The sequence below is a fragment of the Homo sapiens genome, chromosome 6 (assembly GCF_000001405.40).
Source record: "Homo sapiens chromosome 6, GRCh38.p14 Primary Assembly".
NCBI lineage: Eukaryota > Metazoa > Chordata > Mammalia > Primates > Hominidae > Homo > Homo sapiens.
In genome coordinates this window covers 150,397,020-150,409,313 of record NC_000006.12, presented here as the reverse complement: position 1 = coordinate 150,409,313, position 12,294 = coordinate 150,397,020, and the positions used below count along the sequence as shown (strand labels likewise).

The 12,294-nt window shown below is 43.4% G+C and overlaps 1 protein-coding gene across 5 annotated transcripts in view, besides 1 other annotated feature; it reads right to left on the bottom strand.

Moving 5' to 3' along the window:
• Positions 3,345 to 12,294, bottom strand: part of IYD (iodotyrosine deiodinase) — a 36,958-nt gene continuing 28,008 nt past the window's right edge. For all 5 annotated transcript variants that reach the window (NR_134655.2, NM_001164695.2, NM_001164694.2 and 2 more), the window contains one exon: positions 3,345 to 11,259. Coding sequence is in view for 3 of the 5 variants with exons in the window: in NM_203395.3 (NP_981932.1) it covers positions 11,077 to 11,259 (183 nt within the window). In the remaining 2 variants the exon portion in view is untranslated. The remainder of the gene's footprint in view (positions 11,260 to 12,294) is intronic.
• Positions 5,407 to 5,701: a silencer, noted in NCBI's record as "tiled region #14815; HepG2 Repressive non-DNase unmatched - State 22:ReprW". NCBI's record gives its function as "represses a minimal TATA promoter and a strong SV40 promoter by Sharpr-MPRA in HepG2 cells {active_cell/tissue: HepG2}" and the evidence as "EXISTENCE:reporter gene assay evidence [ECO:0000049][PMID:27701403]".

Sequence of the window (12,294 nt, the reverse complement as noted above, 5' to 3'; positions counted from 1 at the left end):
GCACTCTCTTTTTTACTTCTTTATTGTAAATGTGCTACTCTCTTTTCTAGAGATACTGGTGAGCTCTAGAAAAATGTTCCCTTCTCTTAAAAAAAAGTTTTTCTTAAAACAAAGACAGAGAAAGAAAGAAGGGAAAAAAGGAAAGGAGGGAACGGGGTTAATTCAGTCAATGGGAAGCACTGGTGGGAGGAAGAGAAAACTTAAGGTATGCCTCCTCCGCCTCTGCCTCGGGCGGCGTTGTTGGCTGTGGCTGCATTGCCCTGGCACCAGCCCTTCTTGGCAAGCTGTCTATGGTTCCACCTTCCTCCAGGTGCTCCCAGACCTTGGGCTCTAGTGAGGCCCCTCCAGCCCCGTCCCTCTAGTGCTGGGTAGGAGGGGTCAGGGCTAATCACTCTTGCCTCACTCTCCCCACAGTGCAATCAATTCCTTGTTTTAAATTCCCCTTCTGAAAATAATTAGCATGGTATCTCTCTACCTGGCCAGATCTTGTCTGAGCGGCCCTGTAATCTCTTAGAGTGCAGCAGCGTGGGGTGCATTTATTCCTTCCAAGAGCAGAAGATGGGCTTAGAAATAGCCTTTCAATTCGTTTTCCAGTCCAGAATTTCACAAAAGCATAATGTTTAGTCAGCTCAATGCTACCAGTCCGTGACCAAAACTATGTTACGAACACAGGGCGCCAAAGAGTAAAGAGGTCACACTAAGCGTAACCTCTTCCTGCTGCCCCAAACTCCTCACATCCCCCCCACCCCACAACACTCCCTGTAATTACGTGGGTTGTGTTGTAACTGGTTCATCCAGCTACTAAATCAGAGAGATTCAGGCACTCTTTTTTCCCAAGAGTTCTCCAGCAAAAATGCAGAAAAGCTTTTGAAGGCTTGTAACCATCCAGTGGTGTCATTCAAATTGCAAGGATTCTCTGCAATGACAACCTTACCAGCTGATACCTACCATGGCCCCCAGGAGCCCCAGGACACAGAGTTGAGGTAGACTGGTCTCTGCTCTCTGAGAGCTGAGAGTCTAGCAGAAGGCTTGGTCCAAGGAGAAGGGCAGCCAGCGTCATAGGCAGGGAGCCCAAGATGCTCAGAGGAAAGAGATGAGCTCAGCCTTCCTCTTTCCCTGCTGAAGTCTGATGGGAGAATCCAGGGAAGCTTTGACAAAGTGACATAACGCTTGGCCTTCAAGGATGGGGACGTAAATCTGGGAGAAAGACATGGAAGGGGATTCTTGATCTGAGCAAGAAGGGCAAGCCGGGGGCCCAACGGGCATACAGAAGGTTCAAGTTGATTCAATGGAACCCCCTGGTGGGAAGCAGACACTCTGAGTGATGGTCAGTTTCCCTGAAGCTAGGTTCATGGGCTTGTTCTATTTTATACTCCTTCTGCACACATGCTCCTTATAGCTTCTCCTCTCTGCCTCTCTCTCCAGGTACCCCAGTTGGCTGAGCTGATCCTTAGGAGACGAGGAGGCACAATCACAGCTCACGTCCTCAGCTTCTCTCTGCCTCCTGCCCGCCCATTCTCTCCCTCTTCACCTTTATCCAGTTGTCCTTCTTCAAACCCACTTTGGGGGTTTTCTTTTCCATCCTCTGGTGGCCCTGATGTTTGCTTGCTAGTTAAGTGATTTATACATTCCAGGCTGGATCCAAGACAGTGTGGAATGAAAACCAAATGCAAATTGGCTAGAAGGAAGGGCCAGAATAAACACAAACTGAAGACCCCAAACCAACGGTGTCCAAGCTTGTGCATGTATCTGCGCTGTCCCCATGGGGCCTTCCAACTCTGCTCAAAGCAATCTCCAGGGCTGTTCTCCAAGGACAATGGGTGAGTTAGAGAGAAGATCTCTTTGTGCTTCCTTCTTTGCTTTTTAAATTTAAGGTGGACATGATCTCAGGGCTTTGTACAGAAAACCTCTGAGGGTCAGTTGAGTGACCCACTTACCCTGCCATTCCCCACCCTGCTGGGGTCCTCCTGCTACTTCAACTCCATCACCACAGAGACTCAATTCCTGCGCTCTGAGGTTCAAATCTGCATCTGCTGAAGAATCTTCCAGAACTGCAACTCCCATCTGCACTGGGAGCATGTCTGGCCCACACCAGCTCAAGCACTGTGTGAAGGGTCCCAGTTATTCAGTGTGAAATTGTGTAAGACTTTCTCCTGGAGACAGGACCTTTGCAATCACAGCTTGGGGAATTGTCTTTACAATAACCACTTCCTCTTAGGGAGTCAGCAGCCTGGGCTCAAATCCTGCTTGGTCACTAAGATAGTTTTGTGACTCTAGACAAGTCACAGCACCCCTCTTAGCCTACATTTCTTCATCCATTCAACAAATATTCACATAGCAGCTACCGGCACCAGGAATAGAGAGGGGAGCATGATTGATAAATCATCTTAGAATTTATGATTGCATTATGGGAGTTACTCAGTAAATGAGTTTTTAAAAATCAGGGGGAGGGGGAAAACCTTTGAAGAACAATTTGGCAAGATCTAGAAAAGCTGAAATTTGACTTCTCTTTGACCCAGTAAGTCTACTCTTAGGTATATACCCTAGAGAAATTCTTAAACATTCCCACAGGACAAAGAATGAATGTAAAAGAATTTAAATGACAACTCATAAGAAAATGAAAAATGTGCGATATGTTCGTACAATGGTATAGAGCAGTAAAAATGAATGACCTAGAGCTGCACATTTCAACATGGACTATCTCATAAGCATAACTGAAGAATGTTGCAGAAAAATATGTAAAGTTTAATGCCATCTGTGTAGAGTTAAAATGGACAAATATTAGATACTATTTAGTGGCAAGAGTATTTTTTACATGCATGGGCATTAATAAGACCAAATTAGATTAGTGCTTTCTTCTGTGGAGGGAGGAAAGAGGATGGAACTGGGGAGTAATACATAGGCGGTATTAACTGTATTGATAATGTTTTGTATCTTAACCTACATTGTGGTTACATAGTTTTCATTATAATATTCTTAGGATTTTGTGTCTATATTTTAAATGTTGCCCTATAAAAATTTTAAAATTTATTAAATAATGATAAGTGCTCTGAAGAAAATAAACATCTGAAGTGATTGAGAGTGACTGGGGTTTGGTTGGGGGTACTGGAGATTGGGTGGTCAAGGAAAGTTTCTCAGCAGAGGTACTGGGTTGAGCTGAATCATGACTGACATGAAGGGAGCAGCCATAACAGTATCTAGGGGAGGAGCATTGCAGGTGGAGAGAACATCTAATGCCAAGGGTCGTGAATTGTAAAGGACCTAAGATTTTACCCTCCTCGCAAGATAGCAAGGTAGCCTGACTTAGTAGTGTGGATGCTGACAGAAGACACAAGACTACTGGGTCAGAGCAAGATATGTTATTATTCACAGCAGCAGGCAGCATGCTTTTCCTGTTCACACTGCTTCTCCTTGTTCCCCTCCCATGGTCAATATTCAGAGATAAAGTCAGTATAACTTGCTCATGGATTTGGATGTGCAGAATAAAAGAATCACAGAAATTTAAGATGATGATATGGTTTGGCTATGTCTTCACCCAAATCTCATCTTGCATTGTAGTTCCCATAATCCCCACATGTCATGGGAGAGAACTGATGGGGGATAATTGAATAATGGGGGCAGTTTCCCCCATGTTATTCTCATGAGAATGAGTGAGTTCTCATGAGATCTGATGGCTTTATAAGGGGTTTCCCCATTCACTCAGTTGTCATTCTTCTGCTTCCTGTCACCATGTGAAGAAGGGCATGTTTGCTTTTCTTTCTGCCATGATTGTAAGTTTCCTGAGGCCTCCCCAGCCATGCTGAACTGTGAATCAATTAAACCTCCTTCCTTTATAAATTACTCAGTCTCAGGTATTCTTTATTAGCAGTGTGAGAATGGACTAATACAGAAGATTTCTGGATTTGAGGCTCCATCCCAAAAAGTATGAATTGAGGGGCCAAGTAAGGGGTGGAAAGGACTCAAAAGTAGTATTTTGAGCATTAAAAGGTTGTGGTGCCTACTAACATCTAAGTGGAGGGACAGAGAAAGCAGCTGGGAGTAAGAGTTTGGCGTTTCAGGGCAAGGTCAAGGCTGAAGGTCTAGACCAGGGAGGGCCTGGCAGATGGAAGGTGCTAACAGCCCTGGGACTGATGAGCTCACTTGAGAATACTTGCCACATTTACCATACTCACCTGGTCAGCAGAATCACCTGGAACACGTTAAAAACACAGATTCCCATGTCCCTTTCAGATCTTGCATTCTAAAATTTTATGACTAGATTGAGATATATTTCTGCACACATTCAATATGTACTGAATATTTATTGAGCACCTATTATGTTCCAAGCACTGTGCTTGTTGTGATTGGTGAAGCTATAACAGCATCCGGTGGTTATGAAGAAAGACCAAGAGAACCACTGAGACTTTGGCACTAACTTCATTGAAGCAATAGACCAGCATCTAATATCTACCTCCAGACTTCTCACTAGGAGGGAAAAATAATCCCTTATTTGTTTGGGTTATAGTGAGGTTTTTTTGTTTGTATTACTTCTGTCAAAAGCATTCTGACCTCATACACACATTTTATTATCCTATTTATAAAACTAGTAAACAAATAAATAAAACAAATCTCTTTGGGGAAGGGGGGCTTTAATTAATGTTTGATTAACTCAAGTTGAATAAGCCAAACTCCCTTAAAGCATCAGTCTTAGTTATAGGCTTTGTTTATTAAAATCTTTTAAACATTCTAAACTTCTTGTGTAATTTATCATATTTAATTTTCTATTTTAGCACTTCAAATCATTGATATGACAAGATTATAACCAATTAAGACAAAACATTCTCATATATTTAAGCATCTCTTGTAAATCTAATACATTAAACTTATAGTAAATCTAGTCTAATACTTTTCATGAGCTAAGTTAAATATTCTTATACCTTTCAACTTCAAATCACAAACGTAAAATCAATTTCACATTTCAAATTGGAATCATAAGCTTTTTAAAGATTCAAATCACTTAAGGAGCATACACAAGATTAGTCCTAAACTTAACATGAAAGTATCAATATTATGGATTTGAATTATTGCATTATTTCCATAATGAATTCTACACATTCCCAGAGTTGGAAAATCATTTACCCAATAAGGGAACAGAGGTGCTATTTACTATTGTCAAGGACTCATGCCCACAATATGGTGGACAACTCAGATGAGCAGAGGTTGCTTAGGATCTCTGGTCATAAGACAGTACTCCAGCGCTGGGAGACAGTGCCCTGAGTGCTGTGGTTACTATGGGAACAGGAGGCTCCCAGTTTTCACCCTTCAGAGGGTTTTGATTTTAGAACCTTTATTCCAGTTACCTCCCAAGTATTATTTTTATTTTTAATTATTAGAGTAGAAGGAAGTTGGCGACTCCACCTAGGTTAGCTAACAACTTCCTTTATGATCTCATTGGCTTTTGCGTTTACTTGGCACTCTGCAGGCATTGCTAACATATTTCCATCCTGCTCTAAAGACATTTAAATGCTGTTGAATTCAATCCTGAACATTTGGCTCTGAGCCATGACTCTCAGGTCATGATAATAACATAAACCAATCCCCTGCCTCATGACTTTTTAGGAATTTCCCAAATGGGATTATAGCCTCTCACATTTCATTAGAACTACTGTATTTAGCTTGGCAGGATCTTAGCTTTGGGGGCTGTTCTCCCTTGAGCCTGCCCCTGGATGTGCTGGACGTCATTTGCTGAGGCCACCCAGATAGGGAGCAGACCTGGCATCAGCCTTAGATGCGTCAGCCCATTCCCTCCACTACCCTGCTGGGAGTTCCTTACCATTCCCACCTCCAGTTCTCTGCTATTCACCCTCTCTAAAAGGTAGATAAACGCAACGTTTTTTGAGTGTCCAGCCTATTTTGTGGGCTGAGTGGGGCAGGAGAAGGGAGGCACAGTAGCAGCAGAGCTGAAGCCACATTTCTTCTGGACCTCTCATTACTTGTATATATGTGTGAATTGAAAACACGATGTTACCTTTGTTTCCATTTCACACAAATTATAAGAGGGCACTCTGCTGATACCTAGCAAAATAAAATTATATTTCTCATGCCTCTCTGGCATAATATCCACTGATAACTATGTGTTTTTCTTCCACTTACTGATATTCCTAAAAGATGCTTACAAAATGTCTTTTAAAATATCACATCAGTTTGAATACTCTTTGGGAACTCCAATATTTAGAAAAACTAGCCTGGGTGTGGTGGCGTGCACCTGTATCCCAGCTACCTGGGAAGCTAAGGTGGGAGGATCACTTGAGTCCAGAAGTTGGAGGCTGCAGTGAGCTATAATCACACCACTGCATTCTAGCCTGGGTGACAGAGCAAGAATAAAGTAAATAGAGAAAACTATTGGTGGATCATCTTTGTAAGTTTGTAAATTTGGCTTAAAATGGGGTGCACTTTGCTGGGGTTTGAGCAAATGTGCAATAACTATTTACCCCCAATATCATGCAGCAGAGAAGTCACTCTTCCTTTCATAGGGAGGAGCAAATAAGAAGAAATACTGAACTGTCCTCCAGTACTCCTTGATGGAAGTTTCCATTTTGTGGACAGAGGCAGAGATGTCTAGGAAGAAGTCAATCTTAGTTCCACTTTATGTATGTTTATATCAATTTTCTTTGGCCCAAAGTGATACTCTATTTAAAGCTGTATTAGACAAATATCAACCGATCTTAGCGTTTCAGAAGAAAATCTTTATGCCTTTCACTGTCCTATTCTGATTTCACCAATTTCTTCAACTTTCCTTCTCCCCTCCTTTTCTTTTCTGTTATATCCAGTTTTGTTTTCCAAATCCAGAGTTATATGTTTTGGGGAAGAGACATCCAGCACCTACACACATCTGGGCCTCCTTCCTTGCAGGTGCAGGGGGATGATAACATTGACGACACTGCTCCACCTCCTGTGAGGTCACATGACTAGTTCTAGCCAAAGGGTTGTGAGACTGAGGAGGTCACTCCTAGGCCAAGGTACGATGGAATTGTTGGGGTGACCTCTTCCAGTGTTTTCTCCCCCTGCTGCCTCTAGGAAGGAGGCAGCCATGCCCTAGAAGTTGCATCCCACAGTATTACTGGGTTACCCCATGCAAGTAATTGTCTCGGAGGGTTTCCAGGCCTGCAGAGGACTTTGCCTGCCCAATAAATGAACTTTTATCACGTCAAGTCACAAGCATTGCATTTGTTGATTGCCAATGCCCCATGGTTCTCAAAATGTGGTACCCAATCACCAGCATCAGCAACACCTGGGAATACATTAGAACTGGAGCATTTGGGCACCACCCAGCAATACTGAATCACACAATCACACACCCTGAGGGTGCGGCCCAGCAATCTGTGCTTTAACAGACCACCAGATGAGGGATGCCAGCAAGTATGAGGACCATGGCTCTACCCCGTGCTGGCTGACACAACTTTGAGTTAAAAATTCCCTCTTGGCAAAGTAGAGTCTTCAGGTGAGTCCTATTAGTAAGACACAAACCATTTTCAACTTTCTTAATTAAGTATACTTCCTCGCAGTGATGCAATCATTCCATTATTTTTTTGGTTTTAAGGCCTCAGAACAGCAAGAGGATCTATAAGCCTCCCCGACCACTATTTCTAACTTTGAACACAGTTGTCACATGACTGCATTTAATGAACACATAAAAGAAGGTTAATAAGAGCTTGGGGCTGCAGTGAGAAGGAAGAAAATTATCCTTACTTTTCTAGACACCACTGATGGCTGGGGGGCTGTGCTGATTTGCCCTGATCGTGATGCTGCAGCAGAAATTAGTGTGGGGTGTGCTTGGGGCAGAAGAAGTGTCTGGTGTTTCTGGTCCCTAGAAGACCCTCCATTCCAAGGGGCGGCAGGCTGAAATGGATTTTACGTTCCTTCCAAGGGCTTCCTTCCTCTTCTTCATTACTCAGTCGGTTCCCTGCAAGCAATGTGAGCCTCTGGCCTTATTTCTCCTCCGATTCTCATTTCCATTCCTCAAACTCTCCAAGTGGGGGACATTCCAAAACAACCCAATGAAATAAGCATGATATCTGCACCTTCAGTAAATCGCTTAACCTAATGATGGACTTAGAGGGCATTTTTAGGCAAATTACTTATATGACTGAAAGAAATGCTTATTTAAATGTATTTCCATTCAGATTTGACTGTGTTCAAATATAAATTTAAAATAAGAGTATAATGAGAACTGTATATGCTCCACCTAACATTTTACCATGTTAGTTCTCGCTCACACTCTCCAAACACACACCTATACACACACCTTTTTTCCTGGAGTAAGTTGTCAATATGATGCTTCATCTCTCAGTACTTCAGCAGGCATCACTCACATCACTAACAATATCACCTACCACCAGATCCACATTCAACATTCCCAGTTGTCTTTTATACCTATGAGATTTTTCCTAAACCAAAATCCAATCAAGGCTTACGCTTTGCCTTTGGTTGTTGGGTCTCTGGTTATCTGCAACAGAGCTCAGACTTTAACAGGCATGCAGATCACCTGGGCATCTTGTTAAAATGCAGATTTTGATTCTGGATGTCTAGGTGAGGCCTGAGAGTCTTTGATTCTAACAAGCGCCCAGGTGGTCCCAATGATGATACAGGCCCAGGACCACTCTTTGAGTAGCAAGGACAAGACAGTCCCCCTCTTATTCTTCCCACAGTGACACTCACTCCTTAAATAGTCCAGGCCTATTTTTTTGTAGAATGATACACATTTTGGTTATTCCACCATGCCATTAACTTCTTTATCCTCTGTATTTACTGTAAACTGAAAATTAGGTGTAAGACTCGATTAGTTTCCATTGACATCTTTGGAAGGAATACTTCATAATTCATCCCAGCAGGAACACTTAATGTCAGTTATCCTACCATTAATGGTGTGCTAGGACTTTGTCACTTGGTTAAGGTGATGGCCAGATGTTTGCATTATAATTTTTAAAATAAAAATTTGAAGAGTGCCTGCAAAGAGTGAGAACCATGGGGCAATGGCAATCGATAACTCCAATGCTTCAGAAGTAAATAACCTGGCTGCAGATCAGATTGATAACACGAACTACACAGAGAAAAAAATCTTTCAAGTTGGTCTCTGATGGGGTAAGGCTGACTCCCTGCAGGCCAACTCCATCTGGCCCTGCAGCTGCCCCTGAGCCACAGGAGGGCTTCTCTGAAGAGGAGGGAGTCCCTCACCCACCCACGTTACATTTGTTCACCTGAATCCCAAGCAGGGCTGCCTTGCAGTGACAATGGTTTCTACCACAGTAAGGGCCCCCACCATTTATGAATGTTAACCATGTACCGAGCAGCATGCCAAACCCTATGAAGTAGGTGCCATGGACGGAATGTTTGTGTCCCCCGCAATTCATATGTTGAAACCCTAACCCCCAATGTGATGGTATTAGGAGGGGGTCCTTTGGGAGGTGATGAGGTCATAAGGACGGGGCCTCATGATGGGATTAGTACCCTTATAAAAGGCATGCCAGAGGCTCTAACCCTCTTTCTACCACGAGGACACAATAAGAAGTCAGCAGTCTGCAACCCAGATCAGGGTCCTCACCAGCACCTGACCATGAGGGCACCCCGACCTTGGACTTCCAGCCTCCAGAACTGTGAGAAACAAATTTCTGTTGTTTATCAGCCACATACTCTATGGAAATTTTTTATAGAGAGAGTTTTCTCAAGGAAAATGAGGACAAGAAGAAGAAACGCACAGGGAAAGGGGAAAAAGAGGTGAGTAGAGTTGCTTGATGAGAAATCATCCAAGCTGTAAGAGTTTGCCTCTGTAAATATGACACCCCTGGGAGGACGACAGAAGGTGATGGGTGAAGACTACATCTAGCATTCCCAACCTGGCAACTGTGACCCTATCAGTCCCAAACAGCTGTGCTGTCATCTGGAGAATAGGGGTCAGTGTGTTTCAGGGGTTGGGGTAGAAGAGAAGGGAGACACTGTGGGTGCTATGTATGGTAAGCAGCTCTCTTTAAGAAGAAGAAAGCAAGTGCTGATTTGTAGTGGTTGTGATGTAAACTCTCCCACCATGGGCAATTTCAAGCTATGAATGTTTAATAACTGTCTTGCAAGATTCTTGAGTATTGAGCAGCTTCTATGAACTGCTTACAAGTCAGATCTACCAAACCACTAGGCAGTGCAACTGACCGTTTACATGCCAGCCAGGCCCGTGCGACCCAAGGGTACCCTGTCCTGTTCTGTGAAGGTGACATTTTAGTAACTTTGTTTTTGTTTTTTTTGAGACAGGTTCTCGCTCTGTTGCCCAGGCTGGAGTGCAGTGGTGGCATCTCAGCATCTTGACTCACTGCAATCTCTACCTCCCGGATTCAAGCAGTTCTCTTGCCTCAGCCTCCTGAGTAGCTGGAATTACAAGTGCATGCCCAGCTAATTTTTTGTATTTTTAGTAGAGATGGGGTTTCACCATGTTGGCCAGGCTGGTCTCGAACTCTTGAGCTCAGGCAATCTGCCCACCTCGGCCTCCCAAAGTGCTGGGATTACAGGCATGAGCCACTGCGCCTGGCCATGTTTTAGTAACTTTGATGGTTACTTATTCAAAACTAGCAGAGTGTCCCTGAAGTTTGGTAAAAAAAAAAAAGTAGTTCTCAAAAATTAGTGTCTAAAAGCCACCAGAAATCAGAGAACAGGAGACCATTTGATTAATCTAAATTTAAATTCGAGTCATCATGTAGCTGAATTCTTGGGACTATGGTAAATTTCTGATTGTCTCCTCTATGTGAGTTTTTTAAAAATAAAAGAAAAAAGCCAATAGTGATTGTCTAGAATAACTTTTAAAATGTAAAAACCCGGGCATGTTCTTTGTAAAGTGTTCATGCATTTCCAAAGTGGATAAGAAACAGGATTTATGGGACTGGAAGTGCCACAGAGTGTGGAGAGGCTTCTTGACATAGTGTGGCCACCTGAGAAGAGCAATGAGGGGACCTGACACCTGGAGAAAGAGCAGCCAAGAGACCCAAGAGGAGCAGGCGAGAGGCTCAGGGAAAAGCAGGGGCGCCATCTCCCTGCCACTCCCTTGGGGGGCCCTGCCTACACTGTCACCATGATCTGGTCCAGAGGTTTGCGCTTGAGGTCAGGCACCGTGGCCTCCTTGCTGGGGTACCCCACGGGGAGCAGCATCAGCAGCTTTTCATGTGCGGGGCGGCCCAGGAGCACCCTCAGTCGAGGGCCACAGTTGAGAGGAGTGGTAGTGACAGTCACCAGACCTGCATTCTAAAATAAGAGGACAAGAAAGCATTTTAAAGTCAGCAGGCAGAATGACTGCTCTCCCTCTAACCTGGGGACCTTCTTGTCCTGATTATACCTGCTCTTCCTATCATTTCCCTGAAGTTGGGCAGCAAAGAGGCTGCCAGCTCAAGTAATGGCATCGTGAACCTCCCTGCCCCCATCAATCTCCCCACCCCCTCCCTTCTTTTAACCAAGCAGTGGCAAGCTTTTGGAAGAAGAAAAATACTATTATTTTTCATTGATGCTTAAGAAATAGGAATGGTTATTTTACAGAAAAATACTGTAGGAATCCAACTACAGTAGAGGAAAGGCAAAAACAACAGGGAGTTCCTTTTAGCTAAGGGGTTGGTCTGTGTCCTGGTACAAGAACCAAATGATAAGAGAGTCCACCAAAGCAGTGTCCTAGCCCAAATGCGACATAATTTTCCTACTAAATATACATATTCGGTTTTGTTTTTTGTTTTTTTTTTGAGACAAAGTATGGCTCTATCACCCAGGCTGGAGTGCAGTGGCATGATCTCGGCTCACTGTAACCTCTGCCTCCTGGGCTCAAGCCATCCTCCCACCTCAGTCTGCTAAGTAGCTGAGACTATAGGCATGCACCACCATGCCTGGCTATATTTTGTATTTATTTATAGAGATGGGGTTTTGCCATATTGCCCAGGTTTGTCTCAAACTCCTGAGCTTAAGTGATCTGCCCGTCTCAGCCTCCCAAAGTGCTGGGATTACAAGTGTGAGCCACCATACCTGGCCAATTTTCCTGCTAAATATTCTTTCCTGAACTCCAGTGATCTGCCTGGAATCTATGATTTGTTATCAATAACTCTAATATTGGCATTTGAACCCATATATATTTATGAACCCATATATATATGAACCCATATATAGATACATGCACACATGCACATATATGAATCTAGAGTGACTCAATATAGTTTCTTGCTGAAGGTCTCTTATACAACATCATCATATACTATACCTTGATTAACGAAGATTTCACAATACCTGAGAGACTGTTCT